A 25,429-nucleotide genomic window follows, 5' to 3' on the forward strand; every position below is an offset into this window, starting at 1 on the left:
TTTTAAACAACCAGTCATTTTGCTTTAGGATAATAATTTACCATACAAGATCATTCCTTATATAAAATCTCTTTTCTTTATAACCTTCTTTGCATAGCTAGGGGGCATGGCTAATTCCACATGTCCCCAGGCCTTATCTAGAATTTAATGGCTTCAAGGTAAGTAAATTGAACAATTTCCAAAAGTCAAAGAAGCAGTTTATGACCTTAAAGCATTTAGCAAACCTAATATCTGACCTAATTTAGACCAAATGTCTAAATTTTGAAGACATTTTTATTGTATCAATAGTCTTTAAAACTGTCTTTATTTTTGAAAGTTTACCATAGTCACATGAACTAAAAGGCATTAGTTTTAATTTTTCTGAGAAAATATTTAAGTGCTTTTCTTTAAGCCAATTAATTAGAGCTCTTTTATGTAAACATTACACACACAATACATACAAATACACAGATAGAAGATCCTGTAGTTGTAAGGCTTTTCATTTGCCAGTTAAGTTTCTCTTTAAAGCAGGCAGTTTTTAATGGCTTAATAAGCAGACACAGATGGAAGGAAAAACAGATTTCCAGAAATTAAGGGTCTCATTTTTATACCAGATCCTGGATTCCAAAAAGAGGGAATCAGCCCATCCCCAATCCCTTGCATCCAACCCCTGAGTCCATGCAGGCCGCCTCAGTTTCATTCCTTATCAACTGTAAGAAGGACTCATAAAACACCCTTTCATTGGTTTCAAGAGGAACTATTACATAATCCTGCTAGGCATTTAAAATATTTTACTGTAGATTGAATAGGAAAATGGGGGTGGGTGGGGTAGGGATCCCAGGGAAAGTCCCATGAAGAAGTTTATGCCTTTAACAGGCTCCTCCACCCCATCCTTCCTTCCTTTCTTTCTGCTCCTACCTGCTTGCTCAGCATTACCAGCACACTCTCATATTTTGAGAAAAATAGTTTATTTCACATGTAGCCCTCTGGGTAGGGGAAATTTATCTTATTTTTACCCCAAGTACTTCATTAAAAAGTACAGCTTCCTTCTAAAAGAATTGCTGGTGAGCAAATATTAATTATGCCATTGTACATAACTAAGGAAATGGGTGATATGCCCAAGGTTACACAGATAATGACAGTGTTAGGAACAGAAGCCTGTTCACCTGAACTATAGAACAATTTTTTCCCATTAAATGGTACTACACCTTAATCTGCTATAAATGGTTACAATATGCTAAGGAAAGCTTATTGTGACTTGAATCCAGCTTTGAGAATAAAGAGTCAAAAAACTTTTGTATAGCAGGTGAATAATTATATCAGCATGATGGAAAAATACATACAAAAAGAGAACCATGATTGAGTGAATTTGTCAGCAAGTGTTTACCAACTGCCTGCTATGTGTCATTGAAGGCTGCAGGCACTGCTGCAGACTCCAGGAAGTCATGGTCCCTACCTTTAAGGAGCTCACAGTCTAATTATGAGGGAATAATTGAATTGGGACTGAGTGTTCTTGAATCGGGACAGAGTGCTTCTCGGAAGATCAAAGGGAAAATCTGTTTTCTATGAGCATTGCCCACTAAATTGAAAGCACTTCAATTTTAAAATGGGAATGGTGTGTGTGTGGGAGGGGCAGGTGTGTATGCAGGAGGGACAAGGTGAAATGGAGAAGTTAAAAAAATGTGTGATGTTAGCTGTGGGCTTGTAAAAATTTTTTTTTTTTAAAGGGAAGTTTAAAAATGCCAGGAAAGCCATAACATTTTATGCTACAGAGGACATCAAGTATGATACTGGAGAAAGAGCCATAGCAGAGGCAGTATCCTAGTAATTTTCTGGAAAAAGTAAGTACAATGGAGTTGGCAAAACAAAACAAAAAACCTACTTATGGCCTCCACACCAATGCACAAAATACAGGTAATATAGAATTTTAGATTTTATTCAATGAGGAAAATAAAATCTCATAAAGAAACATGGTAGGATGGGATTGACACCTGGAACCTGGCAGTGAAAAAAGGTACAATACGTTGTTCCATAGAAACAGAACTAAGTTCTGATGCGCAGCTGGGAAAGGGTTGCTGGTTATGGGACACACACCATGTGTTTGTGGGAAACCTGTTTCTGGGTCAGAAGCAGCTTCTTTGCTGTGATCTACAGAAAGTTAGCCCTTGTCCCTGGCATTTGTAAAATTCAGGAAGGAAAGAGGGAAAAAAGGGGCAGGTAAGGGATGAAGGAAGGAAAGAAAGAGACAAAAGAAAATAAGTGCAAGGAATGTAAAAACAAAAGAAAATCATAGAAGGAAAGTCAGAGTAGCCCTTTAATCACGAAGGTAGAGTCTTGTGTGGGCTTTTTATATTCTTGAGCATGGAAACAAGAAAGGAATCATTTAGGTAAAGATAAAGGAGAGGAAATAAGTCATGTCATTTTTAAAATGTGCCAAGGGCTAACAAAACAGATACATAAACTGGATTATAGATCCCAGGAGCAAATAATGAAACTGGCACAAAACCAAGTTCCAGAATCAGAGGATATGTTGTTTAATGTGAATGTCATTCCTCAGAAGGAAGAGGTGACATAGTACAGATTGCTATTCTGGATCTAATTCTGACCCACAAAGATGGAACTGATTAGTGAAATGGAAGTGAAGAAAAATCTTTGAGAGAAAGTAACCACGTCACTGAGTTTCTGGTAGCCAAGGAGATAAGGTGAAATATGTGTCCAGGGTTATGAAAAACTTGACTTCAAACAGTTAAAGGCTATGATTTTCATAGCTTGAGACTGTATGAGGGAAAAGGTTCAAAGAGGGTTAAATTCAGTCAGAACAGTGACTTTGGAATTCAGTGAAGAGGAGTGAATGGAATGCCTAGAGACCTCACCAGTGAATTCAGATTTGGAGATATCTGGCAGAGAATAAGCACAACTAAGAAAGTGGTACCCATATTTCAACGTTTTAAAAGCGCAAGTCATAAAGCAAAAGCTGGGGAGCTTCATTATTAAAAAATTAAGGATTTCTGTTCCATAAAGGGCATCATTAACGAAGTTAACGGGCAGATGGCAGAATGGAGAATATATTTGCTTTGTCTAAAACTGACAACAGTGTAATATCACCCTAAAATATGTAAGGAACGCCTGCAAATGAACAGGAAAAAGCAACCCAATTTAAAAAAAAGAAGCAAAGAATATGAACAGGCAATTAATTGCAGAGGAGAAAGCTAATAAATATATGGAAATTTACATTAGTAATCAAATGCAAATTAAACAAATAATGAGATATCACTTTATTCCTATCAAACCAGTGATTAGAAATCTAGAAAATAGCACATGTTGGCTGGGTGCAGTGGCTCATGCTTGTAATCCCAGCACTTTGGGAGGCCAAAGCAGGAGAACTACTTGACCCCAGGAGTTTGAGACCAGCCTGGGCAACACAGTGGGATCCTATTTCTACAAAAAAATTAAAAAATTAGTTGGGCATGGTGGCATGTGCCTATAGTCCCAGCTACTCAGGAGGTTGAAGCAGGAGGATCGGTTGAGCCTGGGAGGCTGCAGTGAGCCATAATTACACCACTGCACCCCAGCCTAGACAGCAGAGTGAGACTCTGCCTCAAAAAGAAAAAAAAAAAAGAAAAGAAAAGAAAAAGAAAAATTGCAAGTGTTGTCAGACGTGGAAATACAGAATCTTGCACTGCTGCAAGATTGGTTCCACCACTTTTGGAAAGCGATATGGCATTACTCGGACACATTAAACAGATTTATACCCAGTAGCCCAGCAGCAATTCCTCCCCTAAGTAACATAAAACAAATTATTTACAAGTTCACAAGGGGATTCAATGCAGGGTTATTTGTAGTAGCATGGAGTTGGAAGCAGCATGGGAGCTCATCAATGGAAGAGTGGACAGATGCATACCGCGGACTATTAGGCATCAATGTGAAGTAACAGATTAAATATTAACATCTGGCAACGTGGATGGAGCCAAAAAACAGTGCTTAGGTTAAACAAATATAAGTAATGAGACAAATATCTCAGTAGGTTTGAAGTACATTTAATAATGCATGCTCACGAAATAATAACTATGTTTAGAAAACACATAAATGGAAATATCCACATTAAGCACATTAGAAAATTGCCTATTGTAGTGAGAAAATGGGACTTGAAGGGTATAAATAAATAAATAAATAAATAAAACAAGAGGGCCTCACTGTCATGGTCTGATGATAGTATGCCATGAACTGAGGAGTATGACTAACTCAATCCTTTCAGGAACAAACAAAACTTTAAAACATAGCAAAAAAAAAAACATAAATCATAACACCACCTGAAAGATGGAATGAGGAAAAACTTGCAAAAAAGAAAACTGGCTGGGCGAGGTGGCTCACGCCTGTAATCCCAGCACTTTGGGAGGCCGGGGTTGGGGGGGGGGCGGATAATCTGAGGTCGGGAGTTCGAGACCACCCTGACCAACATGGAGAAACCCCGTCTCTACTAAAAATACAAAATTAGCCGGGAGTGGTGACGCATGCCTGTAATCCCAGCTACTTGGGAGGCTGAGGCAGGAGAATCTCTTGAACCAGGGACGCGGAGGTTGTGGTGAGCCGAGATCTTACCATTGCACTCCAGCCTGGGCAACAAGAGCGAAACTCCGTCTCCGACTCAAAAAATAAATAAATACATAAATACATAAATAAATAAAAAGAAAAGAAAACTGACCGCAAAATGGGCTCTTATTTTGAGCATGTACAAAACACAGGTAAGTCTGATGGTCTCGGTACATGCGATACTGTTAACAGTTGGAAGAGGGGAGAAACATTTCTGGAGGTGCTAACTGAAGTGCTTGAAATACTTTATGTTATTTAATCCTCATAACCACACTGAAGCATCGTTGCCCTAGTTAAGCCTCTTCAGCTAAGACTCTTCAGTTGCAAGAAACAGAAACCCATTTCAGACAGCTTTAAGCCAAACAACAACAACAAAAACATTTGTTATATGGGCGTAAGGTTATTTCACAGAACCCAAGAGTGAGAATGCAGCTGGGTCTTCAAGGCTGACCCAAACCAAGTGCTCCTTGAGGATCTAAATATATTTTTCATCTCCTAGATAAACCATATTTCTATATGTTAAACTGAATATTTCAGAGGAAGTCACTAATAATAGGTGTCTCGGGGGCTTCCGTGAAGGTTCAGGGCTCTGGACATTCCCACTCCACTCCTATCAGAACAGCTCTGTTTTTATTTGGTTAATACATCAGGATTCTGCCTAAGAGTTCATTGAGGAAATAGCACTACAGCACCTCCTCTGGCCAGATACTGTGCAAAGAATTACAAAATAAATCACAGACGAGTGGAGAAGATAGGAAAGTAAATACACTCTAAAACAATAAAGGAGTACAGTGACAGAAAAACGCACAGATTATTAAGGGAACTCAAAGAAAGTCTAGTAAGCCCAGAAAGGGGTAGGGCTTATGGGAGGTTTCACGGAGTGGATACCTGGAAAGGGGAGGTAAGGCAGCTCAAAGGACACTGTTGTTCAACGGAGGGAAGCGGATTCAACAATTATACAATTCGCTGAGTCGGGGCTTTCACTGCGAAAGAACTTGGCTTCGGATCCGTGATCAAGGCTGGGAGCTATGGAGGTGGATGTGATTGGCAAAGACCTCTGCTCAGGTCTGCGTCAAACCTTGCTTCGCTCCCATCCCATTCTGCGCCAATAGGGCGCAGTATCCCAACCATTCCACTCGGCTAGGAGGGGATCCTAAGCCTCAAGGTCCGCATCTCCCGCTGGAGGGACTGAGCAGCCGCACTGGTGTCCCAGAATAGATCGTGTTCCCCAGAGGTTGTCAGGTTCCCGCAATTCGGCGCGGGCGAGGCGGCCAAAGAGAGGGCGCTCATTGGCTGCCACAGCCCCGGTCCGAGAGGCCGAAGAAGGCTGATTCGTCACAGGCCGTCAGCGCGGGCCACGCCTATTTCCTCTCCAGGTTCTAATTAGGTCAGGGGCCCTACAGCCTCTTGGGTAGTTTGCAAGTGCGTCGCGGAGCCGGCCTCGGAAATATGGCGACAGCTTCAGCTTTCAGTGTGAGGGAGCCGAGGGCCCAGCCAAACCCTGCGGGAGGCAATTCCTGGGTACCCTTCCCATATTTTCGGTCTTTGGGCTGCGCCGTGGTAACCTCAGAGCCTGGTTGCGTGCTCACCAGCGACAAGTGTCTTTCATTGGGACATGAAAGGGGACTGGGAAGTGCCGTGCAGTTTCAGGGTGGTTTCTGGTTAATTACATTTTCATGGGTTTTCGCAGAGTCTGGGGGCAATTTGTGTCCTCCAGAGACCAGGGACCAGGGCCGAAGCTACGGCAGGGGAGACGCGGCCAGGGCCGTGGCTTCTAGTGCGAGCTCGGTTCGCGTCCGTTCCCGTCTGGCGCCCGGGCCTCCGGGAGCCCAGGGCCTTGAATGAGACAGTGCTCGTCCTTGAAAAAGCAGTTCTAGGTCACTCGGCCTGCTTTGCCAGCATTCCGGGCCCCAGCTCACCTTCCGCCATCCATGTTGACAACACCAGTTCTACGACGAAGCGGGCGATTCCTCTTGCCTGGAATTTCACTCGTCCCCGGTATCGAACCCCCGCCCCAATTTTCTACGTTACAACTCCAGCGTATTTTTAACGGCGCAGCCAGTATCACCTCCTTGGTATAAAGCCTGCGCTGTCCTGGACCTTCTTAGGAGTGCAGGCTTAGGAACAGGAGCTATGCTGTTCTATTATTTTTCTTTAGTTTAATTTTTTTTTTTTAGAGATGGGATCTCGCTGTGTCGCCCAGGCTAGAGTGCAGTGGCGGGATCATAGCTTACTGCAGGCTGGGGTCAAGCAATCCTCCCGCCTCAGCCTCCTGAGTGTATGGGATTATAGGCGCAGGCCTCTATGCCATTGTAAATGCTGTGGATTTTGAGTATTTGACCTCTATGAGCCTCAGTTTTTGCATCTCAACATTGAGATAATACTAGTACCTCATAAGGTTATGTGACGATTAAATGGAAAGCTCTTACAATATAAGTGCTTAATAAGTATGTTATCATATGTGCTTCCAAAGTACTTTGTGTAGGCCTTTTATAACGCTTGCCCTTTCTATTACCATTATTTGTTCTTGCCTGCCCTACTAGACTGAGATTCTCAAAAGCTGGAACTGTCTTGTTTATAATCTCAGCGTCTGTCAGTGCTGGGCAAATGTAAAGCTAAGAAATGATTTCTTAGAAAACTTTTTAAAAGCAGTCTTTCTTCTCCTTTCCCTTTCTTCCTTTCCTTCACTTTTTCCTCTTTGAGATAGGAATTTTCAAACCTAGAGAAGAAGCTGAGACCCTAGGGGGAAAGATTGGGACCTTTTTGTTGTTGTTCTCAGTGGTGACCAAAAGAGCCTTAACATTCACCTCAGCCTGACAACTTTAGACAGGTTTCTTCTGGATGTTAGGGCCCTGACCTCCCCTTTCTTTGAGTGTTTACTTTAGAAAACTTGTGATTGCAAAATTCTTCTCTGCTCCTTTGAAATGTGTATAAATCTCCTTAGAAGCTTATGCCAGTTTTACGACCTAGGGAATGTCTTTCTCAAGGACCTGTGAGCCATCCCTTTGAAATGTAATCATCAAGGAAGATAGCACCCCTATCTCTCAGTCTCTGTGGGAGGGTGGGAGCCTAACCTCCTGTGGGTGCCTTGTTTGGAATTGTAAAACTACAGCTTGTTTTGAAGATACAAGAAAGTGTCCTTTTCCTTTGCAGTTAGCAAACACAGATGTCATGTGATTTCCCGTACAGCAGCTCTTAAAAACTTCCCAGACCCTTGTTTGAGTAGTGTTGAGTTTAATCTCGTATTGCAATAGTCTTAAGGTCTTTCTTGCCTGTTTAACTTTGATGCAAATTTTGACAATGGAAATTTTAGGTTCTGCATTTATCGTTTCTTCCCAATTACAGTGGTTTCTCCTTTCTCCTTGTTAAGAAGAGCTTCTCACATCCTCTGATTTCTGGAGAAATCAATTTGGACTCAAAAGATTGGAGTTTTGTGGAGTGAAGCTACTGTTTTTGTTTTGTTTTGTTTTGTTTTGTTTTGCCTGAGATAGAGTCTCACTCTGTCACCCAGGCTGGAGTGCAGTGGTGTAATTATGGCTCACTGCAGCCTCTGCCTCCTGGGTTCAAGTGATCCTCCTGCCTCAGCCTCTCAAGTAGCTAGAATTACAAGCATGCGCTACCACGCCCAGCTAATTTTTGTATTTTTATTAGAGACGGGGTTTCACCATGTTGACCAAGCTGGTCTTGAGCTCCTGGCCTCAAGTAATCTGCCCACCTTGGCCTCCCACAGTGCTGGAATCACAGGTGTGAGCCACCACGTGCTGCCAGAAGCTACTGTTTTAAGTCATCATTGCAAAGGGTAGTGTGTGATGCGCAGGAGTGGAAAGGGCAGTACATCTATTTGAGAGCATCCCAAATGAGGTCCATTCATATTATGGAAGTGCACTGCGAAATAAAGAACAGGCCTACCCCCTTGTTTTATTATGAAGGGGTATGAGAAAAATGCAATTTTCAAAGAAAGAGAACTGCTGAGGATGTAGTACCTTCTCAAAGAAAGCTGTGTTTGGTTAAGGTGAGAAGCTAGAGGAAGCCACAGAGGGCAGGGTTACAAATTGAAAGACTTCTGCAATGGTAGAGGTAGTATGCAGAAGGGTTCCTTAAAATACAGGGATCCATGTAAGATGAGGAGGTAAGGTGGAGTAGGATTGAGGTGGAATGAAATGAAAGATGGAAGAGAAAAAGGAAGGCAGTAGGGGGAGAGGGGAGTTAATTTGGGGTATGGATAACAGGGAAGGAAATAGGTAACCTGAGAAGCTTGGTAGAGGCACTTGCCACTTGCATGGGAAGGGAAATATCATGCAGACGGTCCTGTTGCTAAAGGAAGCTAGAGGATTTAGGAGAAGGGGTTTGGCACACTGGCCTCTATCACCCATCCGTCCCCGACAACACACAACACAGACAAATTGAGTGCACTGTTGACATTTAGTATCATTCTCCCCCCATGACTGGTGGAAGCTAAGAAGATGAAGTTCAGGGTGCTGATCTTTTTTTTTTCTTTAACTGACTTTTCTTATGTGAGTACTTACCCCTAGTTCCCTCTTTCTTCCCTTCCCTTCCCTCCCTCCCTCCTTCCCTCCCTTCCTTCCTTCCTTCTTCTTCTTCATTTTTTTTTTTTTTAATGAGACAAGGTCTTGCTGCGTTGCTCAGGCTGGAGTGCAGCAGTGCTATCATTGCTCGTGCAGCCTTAACCTCCCAGGCTCAAGCAATCCTCCCACCTCAGCCTCCTCAGTAGCTGGGACTACAGGCATGTGCCACCACACCCAGTTCATTTTTTAAATTTTTTGTAGAGATGGGTCTCCCTATGTTGCCCAGGCAGGTCTCAAACTCCATCCTCAGCCTCCCAAAGTGCTGAGATTACAGTCATGAGCCACTGCGCCCAGCCCTTTTTTTCTTGCTTCTTTACCTACTTTTCACAGGAATTGGGTAGATGAGGGTAGACCCAGGAAGTGAGAGTGGAATTTGAGAAAGAAAAACAGTAAAATGAAGAGCTGAAAAATAAAAGAGTTTATTTCTAAATGTATGTACGAAACTCAGGTTGGGGGACTAGCATGTAAAGGTATATACAAATAAAATGGAGTTAAGTGCACTTATTTATTGAATCCTGTTGTGAGAACTTAAGAGGAAAAGAAACTGAGGAAAAAAACTAAGGAAAATCCGAAATTCTCCCGAGGAAGGTCCAAGAAAAAACAATGTGGAAGTGAAGTCAGAGAGATAACATCAGGACATTGGACATCAGGAGGAACTTTCAGGTCTGATTCTAGTGCCAAGGAAGCCATGAACGCTCTTTCCTGGAGCCTTTCAGCATAGGAGAGTTACTCATCTGCCAGGGCTGGGGATGGGGTAACTCTCCCATTCCCCAGGTGAAGGAGCTTTCCTTTCAGGGCCTTCCTGCTAGACAGACTGTGGCTGGGCCAGCCTGGTTCTTCCAAGTGCCCTCACCATGGCCTCCTTAATTTCCTTGTTGCGGAAACTATAAATGATGGGGTTGCACATGGGGGTAATGATGGTGTACAGGAGGGAGAAAGGTTTGTCTTTGTCAGGCCCATGTGTGCTGTGGGGGTTCATGTAAGAGAACATAGCTGAAGTGTAGAGAAAGATGACCACAGTCAGGTGAGAGGCACAAGTAGAGAAAGTCTTCCCCCGACCTGAGGAGGAGGCTTTGCTGAGGATGGTGGCCAGGATGTGCACATAGGAAGTGACAGTGAGCACCATGGGGCTGAGAATTACCACGATGGCATCGGCAAAGATTGCCCACAGACTAAACTGAGGGTCCCCACAAGAGAGGCCAATCACTATGGGGGCCTCACAGAAGAAGCTTTCTATGTGGTTGTCTCTGCGGAAGGGCTCTCGGAATGAAATATACTCGAGAAAGATGCCATTGATCAGCCCAAAGAACCAGGCAGTTCCCACAAGCCTGACACAGACCTTCTGGCTTATGATCGGGACATAGTTAAGTGGGTAGCAGATAGCAACATAACGGTCATAGGCCATGAAAGCCAAGAGGATGCACTCGGCCACACCAACACAGAAGACAAAGTACATCTGGGTCATGCAACATACAAAGGAGACAATGTGGTCCCTGACCACGAGGTGGATCAACATCTGTGGGATGGTAGTGGTGATGAAGCAGACATCCAGGAGAGACAGATGGCCGAGGAAGAAGTACATGGGGCTGTTGAGCTTGGGGTCTGTCCAGGAGGTGATAAAGATGATGAGGCCATTCATGGCCATGGTGAGGCTGTAGAGGGCCAAGAAGAGGGCAAAGAGCAATGCTCGTGTGGAAGTGGAGCTCTGCTGAAAGCCCACGAGGATAAATTCCGTCACTATGCTGCCATTCCTTAGCATCTGGGGCCTGTTTGAGGAGGAAAGATGATGGGAAAAGCACAAGGGTATAGCTGTGGGGTAATAGAAGGTACCCACTTGGTCCCAGAAGCCCAATTATAAAACAGGATGGATGAATGGTGGTCAACCTTTTGGAACTTAGTAAACTAGTAATTTGGCAGTGTTACGGGGTGGTGAAAATGCCAGGGTCATCACAGGCTGCATACATAGAATCATAATATCAACAGATGAAGAAAGTGCTGGTTGTAATGTTCTTTACTCTGGTTTCATCAGGCATCAAGTGAAGTATTGCATCTGCTCCAGAGCCCTCAATATTGAAGGATTAGCCATTAACCAGGATGTATTCAGAGGTGAAAAAATAAGATAATTGGGTCTGGGACCATGCCAACTGAGGAAAAGTTTTAGGAATTGAAGAATGGAGTGTGTGAGGGAAAGGGCTGGTGGCTATCAGGTTATAGAAGATTGTATTTAGGAAGCACTTGAGATATTTGAAGGTGTATTTTTCTAGAAGCAAAAATGCTCAACCTCTGTGTACCTAATTTAAAATGATGAATGGGTTGAAGTTTCAGGGAAAATAAAAACATTCTAATCCTCACAATTGTCCCTCAGCTAACAGTGATTTGCACCTTTTTGGAGACAGTCATGTCAAGCTCTTCCCAGTCACCCACCTCTTCCCAGACTCACTCGCCCAGCAGTTGCTGCTGCTACCGCAGCCACCCATGCTGTGCATGCTGGAGCTGAGGGCTGGGTGGGGGCTCATGCATGCCTTCCTAATAGGAGATGGTTTTCCTCCTGGGGCTGGAATTTACGGTTACACACAATTGGGTGGAAAGGATCCAACCATCCCTGTGTGAAAAGGGAAGCTATGAGCAGGGCATATATCTAACCTTTCTAGAATGGACCTTCAGAGAACTTTCAACTGTCTCTTTGTCTCTGGCAACAAATCTTGTTCTTTTTCCATTTTCAAAGAATGAGCGGTCACAATTCTTATGCTCTTATCTCTCTATTGTAACTTTTAGGAAGTTGTTATGTTCATATTAAGTCTGTCTTATACTTTTCATGTTGTTTTGGAGCTAAGATGTATCAGATCCCTTCCACCTTCAGATGCTTATACTTTTTTTTTTTTTTTTAAGAATTTATAGAGACAGGTACTCACTATGTCACCTGTGCTGGTCTTGAACTTCTGGCTTTAAGTGATTCTCCTGCCTTGGCCTCCCAAAGTGCTGGGATTACAGATGTGAGCTACTGCACCCATCCTCATCTTCAGATGCTTATAGATGATAAGTATATTCCTGCTTAACTTTCAGTTCTGCCAACCATTTCTCTTTATTTTCTCCTCTCCTACTCTCTTTTCTACACACTCTCACACTACCCTCTGTTAGTCTTTTTTCGTTTTTCAGTCTACTTCCAATCCTCATTCTTCTCCCTCTCCTTTTCTCATTTGTGGTGTTGGTTGCCTGCCGTTTATCTTACTCTGGTCAAACTCCCCTGTCTTCTCCATGTCTCTCAATCTCACATATTCTCTATCTGGATTTAGAGCTACCTACCCTTTCACTGCCACTCCTTGCAGCTCTAGATTCCCTCTAGGTATGATTTGATGTTAGGTCAAGGTAGCGTCTGGGCAGTAGGCTATTCCCATCATCTTTACTTTGGGATACTTTTCTTGTGCCTAGGACTTCTCTTGGGGGCCCAGAAAGGGAAGGGAAGGGCAGAGAGCACTGTTTAAGATGTTTCTTGGAAGACTGTGCTCAATGGACATGTTGGGGCTTAGGTCACAGTCTGGGGAAAACAAGTCAGTGAGCTACCTCCAGAAAAGCCTGGGATTTGTCTAAGAATAAACTGAGGTTAGACCTGAGGAATTACTTGGTCCTACTGGAGGATAAATGCTTACCTGTGGTTTATTGTGCCAGAAAGAATTCTGTGATACCCAGCATTTAGTGCCTTGCTAGCTACCATTAGAGGTTACTAGGTGAAGGATTTGTCTAAATAAATGGGACAATTTCATGGAAATCACATCCTACCTCATTCTGTTGCTTGGCTGATAATGATGTTTGTCACTGAATCAAGTAACAAGTAACAGAAAACATCTCATAGTGTTTGAAGAGAAGCTGGTCCAAGTAGGATCATCTGACCTGGCAGGCCACTCTGGAAGAGAAGGTGTGTCTGATGACTTTGTTCTTTGACATCTATACTATTAGAGATGAATGTCTACTTAAATGACATTGATAAGTTTCATGTGTATACACTTAATAGTAGAGGTGTGAAAACTTACATGCCCCTCGAAGAAGTGAAAGATGTGCCACCCCCAAATATACCAGACTGGTACATTATTATTATTATTTTGAGATGCAGTCTCGCCCCGTCGCCCAGGCTGGAGTACAATGGCACGATCTCAGCTCAAAGCAACCTCCGCCTCCCGGGTTCAAGCAATTCTCCTGCCTCAGCCTGCTGAGTAGCTGGGATTACAGGCGCGCACCACCACGCCTGGCTAATATTTTTGAATCTTTAGTAGAGATGGGGTTTCACCCTTTTGGCCAGGCTTGTCTCGAACTCCTGACCTCATGATCCACCTGCCTTGGCCTCCCAAATATTGATTATTTTGTGTTAAAAACACTGAAGGCCGGGCGCGGTGGCTCATGCCTGTAATCCCAGCAGTTTGGGAGGCCAAGGCGGGCAGATCACCTGACTGTAAGGTCATAAACAAGCTTAGGTAACCATTATTTAAGATTTAAGATTTTATTTAAGATTATATTAAGGGTGGTACAGTAAAGCTGGAAAAGAAAAAATGGTATAAGAAGTAGAAATGAAAAACAAAACTCTATTTACAGATGATATGATTGTCTTCATAAAAACTAAAAGGATGCACAAATAATTTATTAAAATTAATAGAATTTAACAAGTTTACTGGATACAAAATCAATATGCAAAAATCTAATTGCAATTCTGTTACCAGCAAACAAATTAGAAAATGTAATTTTAAGATACCATTTTAAATACTATGCAAAGTATATAAAAAATGAAAACCATATGATCATCTCAATAGATGCAGAAAAACTTTTGATAAAATCCAATATCTCTTCATCATAAAAACTCTCAGTAAACTAGGCATCAAAGGAACATATCTCAAAATAATAAGAGCCATCTATGACAAACCAACAGCCAACATCGTACTGATTGGGCAAAAGCTGGAAGCATTCCCCATGAGAACTGGAACAAGACAAGGATGCCCCTCTCATCACTCTTATTCAACAGAACTGGAAGTGCTAGCCAGAGCAATCAGACAAGAGAAAGAAATGAAAGGTATCCAAATTAAAAAAGAAGAAGTCAAACTATCATTCTTCACAAATGATATGATTCTATACCTAGAAAACCCTAAAGACTCACTGAAAGGCTCCTAGACTGATAAGCAACTTCAGCAAAGTTTCAGGATACAAAATCAATGCACAAAACTCAGTAACACCTCTCCACACCATAACATTCTAGCTGAAAGCCAAATCAAGAATGCAATCCCATTTACAATAGCTGCAAAAAAAAAATAAAATACCTAGGAATGCACCTAACCAAGGAGGTGAAATATCTCTACAGGAAGAACTACAAAACACCACTGAAAGAAATCGTGGATGACACAAACAAATGGAAAAACATTCCATCCTCATGGATTGGAAGAATCAATATCATTAAAATGGCCATACTGGCCAAAGCAATCTATAGATTCAATGCTATTCCTATCAAACTACCAATGTCATTTTTTGTAGAACTAGAAAAAAACTATTGTAAAATTCATATGGAGCAACAATAACAAAAAAGCCCAAGTAGCCAAAGCAATCCTAAGTAAAAAGAACAAAGCCAAAGGCATCATACTACCCAACTTCCAACTATACTACAAGGCTACAGTAATCAAAACAGCATGGTACTGGTACAAAAACAGACACATAGACCAATGGAACAAAATAGAGAACCCAGAAATAAAGTTGCACACCTGCAGCCATCTGATCTTTGACAAAGTTGACAAAAATAAGCAATGGGGAAAGGACTACCTATTCAATATATAAAGCTGGGATAACTGGCTAGCCATATGCAGAAGAATAAAACTGGACCCCTACCTTTTACCATACACAAAAAGTAACTCAAGATAGATTACAGATTTAAATATAAGACTTCAAACTATAAGAACCCTAGAAGAAAATCTAGGAAACACCATCCTAAACATTGACCTTGGGAAGGAACTTATGACTAATTCCTCAAAAGCAATTGCAACAAAAACAAAAATTAACCGGTGGGACCTAATTAAACTAAAGAGCTTCTGTATAGCAAAAGAAACTATCAACAGAGTGAACAGACAACCTCCACAATGGGAGAAAATATTCACAAACTATGCATCCAACAAAGGTCTAATATCCAGAATCTAAAAGGAACTTAAGCAATCCAATTAAAAAAAAAAGTCATTAAAAAGTGGGCAAAATACATGAATAGACATTTCTTTTTTTTTTTTTTTTTTGAGACGGGGTCTCGCTCTGTCTCCCAGGCTGCAGTGCACGATCTCGGCTCACTGCAAGCTCCGCCTCCTGGTTCCTGCCATTCTCCTGCCTCAGCCTCCCGAGTAGCTGGGACTATAGGTGCCTGCCACCACACTGGGCTAATTTTTTTGCATTTTTAGTAGAGAGGGGGTTTCACCGTGTTAGCCAGGATGGTCTCGATCTCCTGACCTCGTGATCCGCCCACCTCGGCCTCCCAAAGTGCTGGGATTACAGGCGTGAGCCACCATGCCCAGCCTAGACACTTCTTAAAAGAACACATACAAGCAGCCAACAAATATTTTAAAATGTTCCACATCACTAATCATCAGAAAATGCAAATCAAAATGATAATGAGACATCATCTCACACCAGTCACTATGGCTATTATTAAAAAGTCATGAAATAACAGATGCTGTTGAGGTTGTGGAGATACCTCAACAATTGTTGGTGGGAATGTAAATTAGTTCAGCCACTGTGGAAAGCAGTTTGGAGATTTTTTAAAGAACTTAAAACGGAACTACCATTCGACCAAGTGATCCCATTACTGGGTATATATCCAAAAGAAAATAAATCATTCTACTGAAAAGACACATGCACTCATGTGTTCACTGCAGCACTATTCACGATAGCAAAGACATGGAATCAACCTATGTGCCCATCAACGGTGGACTGGATAAAGAAAATGTGGTATATATACACCGTGGAATACTATGCAGATATAAAAGAGAACAGAGTTATGTCCTTTGCAGCAACATGACACAGCTAGGGTCCATTATTCTAAGTTAATTAATGCAGGAACAGAAAACCAAATACTGCATGTTCTTACTTATAAGTGGGAGCTAAACATTGGGTATTTATGTACATAAAGATGGCAACAATAGAAACTGGGGACTACTAGATGGGGGAGGGAGGGAGGGGGGCAAGGGTTGAAAAACCACTGGGTACTATGCTCAATACCTAGGTGATGGGATCAGTCATACCCCAAACCTCAGCACCATGCAATATACCCAGGTAACAAACCTACACCTGTACACCATAAATCTAAAATAAAAGTTGAAACAAAAATAAATAAATAATACTGTGCAAACTATGAAGTACCTAAGAATAATTCCAATGTAAAGGGCAATTCTTCATCCCCATCAAGCTACCAATGACTTTCTTCACAGAATTGGAAAAAACTACTTTAAAGTTCATATGGAACCAAAAAAGAGCCCGCATTGCCAAGACAATCCTGAGCCAAAAGAACAAAGCTGGAGGCATCACACTACCTGACTTCAAACTATACTACAAGGCTACAGTCACCAAAACAGCATGGTACTGGTACCAAAACAGAGATATAGATCAATGGAACAGAACAGAGCCCTCAGAAATAACGCCCCATATCTACAACTATCTGATCTTTGATAAATCTGAGAAAAACAAGCAATGGGGAAAGGATTCCCTATTTAATAAATGGTGCTGGGAAAACTGGCTAGCCATTTGTAGAAAGCTGAAACTGGATCCCTTCCTTACACCTTATACAAAAATCAATTCAAGATGGATTAAAGACTTAAATGTTAGACCTAAAACCATAAAAACCCTAGAAGAAAACCTAGGCATTACCATTCAGGACATAGGCATGGGCAAGGACTTCATGTCTAAAACACCAAAAGCAATGGCAACAAAAGCCAAAATTGACAAATGGAATCTAATTAAACTAAAGAGCTTCTGCACAGCAAAAGAAACTACCATCAGAGTGAACAGGCAACCTATAAAATGGGAGAAAATTTTCGCAACCTACTCATCTGACAAAGGGCTAATATCCAGAATCTACAATGAACTCAAACAAATTTACAAGAAAAAACAAACAACCCCATCAAAAAGTGGGCGAAGGACATGAACAGACACTTCTCAAAAGAAGACAATTTATGCAGCCAAAAAACACATGAAAAAATGCTCACCATCACTGGCCATCAGAGAAATGCAAATCAAAACCACAATGAGATACCATCTCACACCAGTTAGAATGGCAATCATTAAAAAGTCAGGAAACAACAGGTGCTGGAGAGGATGTGGAGAAATAGGAACACTTTTACACTGTTGGTGGGACTGTAAACTAGTTCAACCATTGTGGAAGTCAGTGTGGCGATTCCTCAGGGATCTAGAACTAGAAATACCATTTGACCCAGCCATCCCATTACTGGGTATATACCCAAAGGATTATAAATCATGCTGCTATAAAGACACATGCACACGTATGTTTATTGCGGCATTATTCACAATAGCAAAGACTTGGAACCAACTCAAATGTCCAACAATGATAGACTGGATTAAGAAAATGCGGCACATATACACCATGGAATACTATGCAGCCATAAAAAATGATGAGTTCATGTCCTTTGTAGGGACATGGATGAAATTGGAAATCATCATTCTCAGTAAACTATCGCAAGAACAAAAAACCAAACACCACATATTCTCACTCATAGGTGGGAATTGAACAATGAGAACACATGGACACAGGAAGGGGAACATCACACTCTGGGGCCTGTTGTGGGGTGGGGAGGCGGGGAGGGATAGCACTGGGAGAAATACCTAGTGCTAGGTGATGAGTTGGTGGGTGCAGCGCACCAGCACGGCACATGTATACATATGTAACTAACCTGCACATTGTGCACATGTACCCTAAAACTTAAAGTTTAATAATAATAAATACATAAATAAATAAATAAATAAATAATTTTAAAAAAGGCAATTCTTTTTGTTTGTTTGTTTTTTGAGATGGAGTCTTGCTGTGTTGCCCAGGCTGGAGTGCAGTGGTGCGATCCTGGCTCACTGCAACCTCCGCCTCCCAGGTTCAGGTGATCCTCCTGCCTCAGCCTCCCAAGTAGCTGGAATTACAGGCATGTGCAAACATGCCCAGCTATTTTTTTTTTTTTTTGTATTTGTAGTAGAGACAGGGTTTCACCATGTTGGCCAGGCTGGTCTCGAACTCCTGACCTCAGTCATCCTCCCACCTCAGCCTCCCAAAGTGCTGGAATTATAGGTGTGAACCACCACGCCCAGCCAGAAAAGGCCAGTTCTTTGAATGTCATTAGAGAAAATCTAAATAAATGGAAATACGTGTAGACATACTTCACGGAATATCCATAAAGCTAATGATTCTTCACCCTGATAGCTCCAAGAGTTATTCCACTTTTAGGACAACTCTTTTTTGGTATAATTATTTTTTCACCCCAAACACACTAAATAAATACACTGTAAGAGTGATATTTCAACATTACAGTGTCAGATTAAAAACATACTAATTTTCTTCATACAGTCCTCTCTAGGAAGAGAATATTATTTGGAACAATTTGAATTGCCCATCATATTTGTGTTGGAATTTTGTCAATAAAATGCTCTGGATCACAGATTTTATGGAAGTGAGCAGTGAAATAAGCTTCCTACTTAGCATACCAATTAGTGGTATAGAAATAGATGCTTTTAAAGTGCTTGAAGAGTTTGCTTTTCTCAGGCACTTTTGAGTGGATATATGAAGGATCATCAGACATCTTGTACTGCAAAGGTCAATTTCCTGATGCCTAGCTTTTCTGTCTTATGTACAAACTGAATTATGCTACCAAAATGTCCCAGTTAGATTAGATTTGGTCAGATCCAAATTGGGAATGGTGGAGAAGGTATTCTTGTATTGTAGAATGGGAAGAAAAAGCCATCTTACCAACATGTAGAATGAATCAGGACACAAGCCTCATAAATTTATAAATTCAGTTTTAAAGCAGTCCAAGTATTTATTTATTTGTTTTTTCTTCTTTTTTCTGAGACAGGGTCTCAGTCTGTTGCCCAGGCTGGAGTGCAGTGGCATGATCATAGCTCATTGCAGCTTCAAACTCCCAGGCTCAAGTAATCCTCCTGCCTCCGCCTCCCAAGTAGCTAGGACTGCAGGCACCTGCCACCACATCCAGCTTTTTTTTTTTTTCAGTAGAGACAAGATTGTGCTATCTTGCCCAAGCTGGTCTCAAACTCCTGAGATAAGTAATCCTCCCACCTCAGCCTCCCAGAGTGCTGGGGTTATAGGTATATACCACCGCACGTGGCCCCAAGTATTTCAAGAGAAGAAAGGAAGGACTGCAGAGAATTGAGGGAGGGAGAGAATAACTGAACTTCTCTGGGTTATGCAGAATTTAAATGGTAGATAATTTAGTACTGGGCCGAACTTTGGAAAAACAGTGGGTAGGTCGGGGAAAGAAGGGTATACAGATCTGAAGAAGAAAATTGTGATAATGAAGAGGTAGAGAGGATGGGGGTTAGGAGGGGAGCAACTTATCAAATATATGCTCCATTGGACAGATCTTTTGTCTGTCTGTTTACCACTTTATCAGCAGTACTTAATAAGGTCCCTGGCACTGAGTGGGGCTCAGTCAATATTTGTTGTTGTGTTGAGCATAGTATACTGATATAACAAATATTTAATTAGGGGCACAAGAAATGGCAACTAAGTCAGCACATACTCTAGCTAGAAAATTAATTCAAAATAAAATTAGAAAATGGGTGGACAAAAGTTAAAGTGTTCCCAGATTTGAAGCTGAGGGCACAAGGATCATGATATATGCTAGGCTTCCTTATCTATCCAGTCATCTGGTAATGGTAATAGAAATTTCCCAGGGAAACCTGGAACTGCTCTAGACCTTCCTGGGCCACATGCCATGGACAGGGCCTCACGAGGGAACCTTGGAAAGGACTGGTTCAAAACTATCCCCCGGGTTGGAATGGTCAGGCTTCAAGAATAGACAGTTGGTCTTATTACAGTAACCAGTTAGAAGCTCAAGCATGCTTCTCTCTCTCTCTCTCCCTCCCTCTCTCTCTCTCCCCACCTCCCCCCCGCCGTGTGTGTGTGTGTGTGTGTGTATGTGTGTGTGTGTGTGTGTGTGTGTGTGCGCGCGCGCGCGCGCACTCAAGTGAGGAATGGGGAAGGAGGGTGGAGGAAGGAGCTTGTAAATGAGCAGCTGGTTTGCAGCAAAACCGCACCTCACTCTGCACCTTTGGATCCCTCTCAGCCTGAGGTTAGCACAGCCAATGTCCTCACCAGCGTCTGCCAAAGCCCATGGAGAAGGTCAGTGAATTCACTCACTTCTGCTGTGATAGCCGCCCCTGCCTCTGGACATCCCTGGAGATTAACACTCATGGCTCCCTCAGGAACAGCCCATGTTCAGATCACAACAGGACTCTCCACACAGCAGGCACTGGGGAGCTGTCACAAATCTTGACTCCGTTAACCCCCCTCTGCTCTGTTTCTCCTTCTCTAAGCTCGCTGTGGTCCCAACTTCCTCCGAGTAGTCACTTCTTCCTCTGCAGCTCCCCTCCGTGTTTCCATCAGGACATCAGTGTGCCCACCTGCCCTGTTGGCTTGGGCTAAGGGAAGATGCCTTGGATGTCACTGAGCGTGGTTTGCAGAGGCCTGTTTCTAATGGCTGGGGATGAGGAGACAAACCAGAGGGTCAGCCTCTTGTTCCCAGAACTTGGGAGGCACCTGGTTCCTTGGTTTTGAGTCCACGTTACCAGACACATGCCCAGCAGGCCTGATCAGCTTCTCAGTCACTTTTCCATGTTTGGCTTTTAGTGCCCTCTTTTTTTTTTTCTGTCTCTAGTTTGGTGTTCATGGTGACTGTGTCTTTAGATGTGTTTCTCTGTATAAACCTATTATATTTTCACACTCTTTTCCAGTCTCCCTATATTTCAGTCCCTCTAGTTCTTTCTTTGGCTTTAACATTTTTCTTTCCTTTTTAGAGAGAAGAGATCTTTCCCCCTGTGTCTGTCTCTCTGATTACTTCTCTCATTTATTTTCTTTCCTTTTTTTGAACCTTCGTCTTTATGTTTGTGCATGTCAGTATTTTCTATTTATCTGGGATTTTTCTTTCTTGTTCCCGGGGGAAAGGGAGTCAGAGAAGTAACTCAAGGATGGTCCTCTCTTAGAGACTGATACAGAGCATGAGTTCCACATTTGTTTACAATGTTTCTGGGAACCAGATTAGGAGAAAAGGTGAAGGCTGAGTTAGATGTAAATAATTTCCTGGCATTGAGAAGCCGGAAACATGAGGATGGATTCGAAAGGGCAGGTGAGACCCTCTCCTCTCTCTGGGTTTCTGCAGAAGCAGTTGGGCTTACAAGTGGAAGCCTGGCCAAGTCTGTACAATCTTCCTTCCATAGGTGAAGTGAAACCACAGGGAGACAGACAAGAAACAGAGATCAGAACTAATGTTTGTTGTCTATCTGTGTAAGCCACTAATCATGTATTATTTTAGTTAATCCTCATTTTGTAGGAGAAAAACTTGAGACTCAGCTAGCTGACTCCCATTGAGTAAATGGCAATGCCGAGGCTGAATTTCAGGTATGCCGGTCTCCGAAGTCCCTCTACGTTACCCTGTGCCATGCCTCACTGCTTCTCTGTAAAATGATGCACTTTCAAGTCTGTGTGTTTTTAATGTGTTTATACATCAGCTTTACAAATCATTTTTAAACTATTACGTCTGAGGAAAAAAAGGATTAAGTCTGCAAAGGAAAAAAATATTTTACAAATCATTTAGCTTGAGATAACAAAGCCATTTTACCTTGTACCCCCAGTCTGACTCAAAGTAAGACTGTGAATTCTTTTTTTAATTGGCAAAAGAATTATATATATTTATGGTGTAAAATATGATGTTTTAATATATGTATACATTGTGAAATGACTAAATAAAGCTAATTAACATATCCATTACTTCACATACTTATCATTTTTGTGGTGAGAACACTTAAAATCTACTTTCTTAGCAATTTTCAAGAATATATTAATACCTTGTTATTAACTAGTCATCATGTTGTACAATAGAGCTCTTGAAATTATTCCTCCCATCTAACTAAAAGTTTGTATCTTTTGACCAACATCTCCCCAGTCCTCACTCCCTACCAGCCCCAGGTAACCACAATTCTACTCTCTGTTTCTGAGGTTGACTTTTTAACATTCCACATATAAGTGAGATCATGTGGTATTTGTCTTTCTGTGTCTGGTATATTTCATTTAACATCACATCCTCCAGGTTCATCCATGTTGTTGCAAATAACAGAATTTCCTGGTTTTTTTCTAAGGCTAAATAGTGTTCCATTGTATATATATACCACATTTTCTTTACGCATTTGTCCATTGATGGACACTTAAGTTGATTCTCTATCTTGGCTACTGTGAATAATGCTGCAAAGATTGTGACAGTGCAGAGGTCTCTTTGACATACTGATTTCGTATCTTTGGATATATCATATGGTAGTTCTAATTTTAATTTTTTGAGGAACCTCTATAATATTTAAGAAATGACAATACCAATTTACATTCCCACCAACAGTGTGCATGTATTCCCTTTTCTCCACAACCTCACAACACTTATCTTTTGTCTTTTTGCTAATAGGTGTGAGGCAATATCTCGTTGTGGTTTTAATTTGCATTTCCCTGATGATTCGTGATGTTGAGCATTTTTTTCATATACCTGTTGGCCATTTTTTGTGTTCTTTTAAGAAATGTCTATTCAAGTCCTTTTGCCTATTTTTAAATTCAGTTGTTTTCTTGCTATTGAACTGTTTTGAGGTTTTGAATCTCATAAATACATAACTATTCACCTCTTAAAAAACATCTATTTCATAATCCAGGACTCTCAGTGTGTTTCAAATTTTTCTCTTCTGTGCCTTATTGCTATAGAGGATAGTACTAATTCTCTCTGTTAGGAATTCTCTCTCTCTCTCCTTCCCTTTCTCTCTCTCTCTGTGTGTGTGTGTGTGTGTGTGTGTGTGTGTGTGTGTGTGTGTCTTTCTCTCTCATATCTCTCATTCTTTCCCTTTCTTCTCTAAGCTATTTAGAGTTAGTCCAATTTTTTTCAGGCATTTAAAATAGCAAAATAGCTCAGATTAATCAATGCCATGGAACAGCTGAAGTTATTATCCAGTCCACTGATGTGTCGTGGTTCTTCTTGATTACTAAGTTCTTTTGAACATACACACAGAGGAGCATTATCATGGATAGCTTTGCATATCATTTTCTCTGTCTTTCCCTTAGATTTCTGGTTATTTTACTCTTTGTTTAAATCCCCATATTGAAGGTGACTGTGAGAAGGGGGAGGAGCAGCAAATCTCGTCTGGTTTTTGTTATAGCTTTTCTAGTGGAATAGTAGATTCACTTTAGGGCTCAGCTGGAGAAGGGATAGGGATCATGGAAGGCGATCATATCTTATGATATGGAGGGAGGCACAATACGGAATTAAAACCTCCACTATAAAATTAGGATGAGGTTATTTTTGGTATTTTCATTATTTATTATGTCTTCTGTGGAGTCCTAATTAGGGAAAAGGAGTCAGGCTGGCAGGACCAAGGGAAAGCAAAAAAAGAAAGCAGATACCTTTCTTCGTGGTCCAGGACATATAGCCCTCCTGCACAAATAACTCGCAATCTTCCTGTACCCAACTATTACCAGACACCCTGAAGTTAGTTCACTGCAACCTTGGCATTATCAGCACTGCACAAAGCTCTTTTCAGCATACAGCATAAACTCTATTCTATAATATAAACTCTCCAGCCAAGCCTGTTTCTTTGCAGTCAGCTTCTCTCATGCTGATACTGCCAGTTGCCTCTCTGGCAAAATATTTTCCTACTTTCTCTAGTAAATCTGCCTTTCTGTACCTACAATTAATTCTCTTGGTAAATTCTTTTACCCCTGCACCATCGGCTCAGATAGTTGTCTCTCCCCCATAACATCTCCCTTTAATGCAGACCAATAAGAAGGACCTTCCAGGACAGTTTGTGCCTTACACTTATTTTGTAGATCACAGGGATGTCTCATCACAGGGGTCTGGCATGCCAAGTCTGGATACATTCATAATACTTGGCCTTGGTTAGGCATCTTCAGGGGCTGCAGGTACTTCAGAGATCCTCACTTTCAGAGGGATATGGAGAAACTGAAGTGGATATGGTAGCAAAGAGGTGAATGGAGCAAAGTGAAGGCAGAAAAAACTGGGAGGGAAGCAATGAGAGAATTTAGAACACTTCTACAATTTAACTTAAATCTGTTGCAAGGCAAGGCACCATTAAAGGCAAACTACTCACTGTCCATCTTGCTGAAGAAAAGGGAAATGGGAATGAACTTAAAATAGAAAAGAAGGGAAATGGACAGGCCTGTAGAAGCACTTCTGAAGTGGGTTTGTGCAACATTGGAATGAGTTGCTACATTGCAACAGACTTGTCAAGCAGAGGCCTCCAGGAACTCTCACTAAGGCTTAGTTGCCCTTCATTAAAAGTCATTTACATCTGTCTTGCAAATGCCTCCCCAAACATGGGTCCACATGCTTTTGTCTCCACAACTTCATTAGGAAATACATGGCAAAACTTTATTGCTTGTTGTTTCCCGATTTTATTCCTAGCAGATATGTCTTAGTGAAAATCACAGAGTTCTGAGTTCTCAAATTTTAAAATCTTTAAAAATACCGTAATTCCAGGGCTTTCTGGGTTATATGTAAAATCAGATGGAGAAACAGCTTTTTTTTTTTTTTTTCTGGCCATTTAAGGATAGAGTAAGGGGCTGACCTTATGTTTCTAATGATGGGGCTGGTGCTAGGTCAGAGAGGTCTGGCGGACAAGGGCTCTGAGTTTTTATTTTACTTTATTTTATTTTATTTTATTTTATTTTATTTTATTTTATTTTATTTTATTTTTTGAGACAGAGTCTTGTTCCGTCACCCAGGCTGGAGTGCAGTGGTGCGATCTCAGCTCACTGCAACCTCTGCCTCCTAGGTTCAAGCAATTCTCTGTTTCAGCCTCCCCAGAAGCTTGGATTACAGGCACCCACCACCATCCCCAGCTAATTTTTTGTATTTTTAGTAGAGACGGGGTTTCACCATCTTGGCCAGGCTGGTCTTGAACTCCTGACCTCGTGATCCGCCTGCCTTGGCCTCCCAAAGTGCTGGGATTACAGGCATGAGCCACCACGCCTGGCCAAAGCGCTCTGA

The 25,429-nt window shown here is 41.7% G+C and overlaps 1 protein-coding gene and 1 long non-coding RNA gene across 11 annotated transcripts in view, besides 1 other annotated feature; one reads left to right on the forward strand and one right to left on the reverse strand.

Moving 5' to 3' along the window:
• The first annotated feature begins 5,982 nt into the window (after positions 1 to 5,982).
• LOC102725258 (uncharacterized) overlaps positions 5,983 to 25,429 on the forward strand; it is a 43,463-nt gene continuing 24,016 nt past the window's right edge. For 8 of the 10 annotated variants that reach the window (XR_001749117.2, XR_944911.3, XR_944912.3 and 5 more), the window contains exon 1: positions 20,402 to 20,520. This is a non-coding gene — a long non-coding RNA (uncharacterized LOC102725258). Of the gene's footprint in view, positions 6,091 to 20,401; positions 20,521 to 25,429 lie in introns of those variants that run through there. The other 2 variants (XR_001749121.3, XR_001749122.3) reach the window with 2 other exon arrangements.
• Positions 9,961 to 10,914, reverse strand: OR10AD1 (olfactory receptor family 10 subfamily AD member 1). The gene has a single exon (NM_001004134.1). The coding sequence runs from the start codon at positions 10,912 to 10,914 to the stop codon at positions 9,961 to 9,963; it is 954 nt and encodes a 317-aa protein (NP_001004134.1).
• Positions 21,495 to 21,695: a silencer, noted in NCBI's record as "peak1716 fragment used in MPRA reporter construct". NCBI's record gives its function as "represses an SCP1 promoter by STARR-seq MPRAs in K562 erythroleukemia cells {active_cell/tissue: K562}" and the evidence as "EXISTENCE:reporter gene assay evidence [ECO:0000049][PMID:32103011]".

This window comes from Homo sapiens, chromosome 12 (assembly GCF_000001405.40).
Source record: "Homo sapiens chromosome 12, GRCh38.p14 Primary Assembly".
Classification (NCBI taxonomy): domain Eukaryota; kingdom Metazoa; phylum Chordata; class Mammalia; order Primates; family Hominidae; genus Homo; species Homo sapiens.

What these genes read in the sequence shown, in the direction of transcription:
- OR10AD1 (NM_001004134.1), bottom strand. Translation starts at nt 10,914, where the DNA reads ATGCTAAGGAATGGCAGCATAGTGACGGAATTTATCCTCGTGGGCTTT.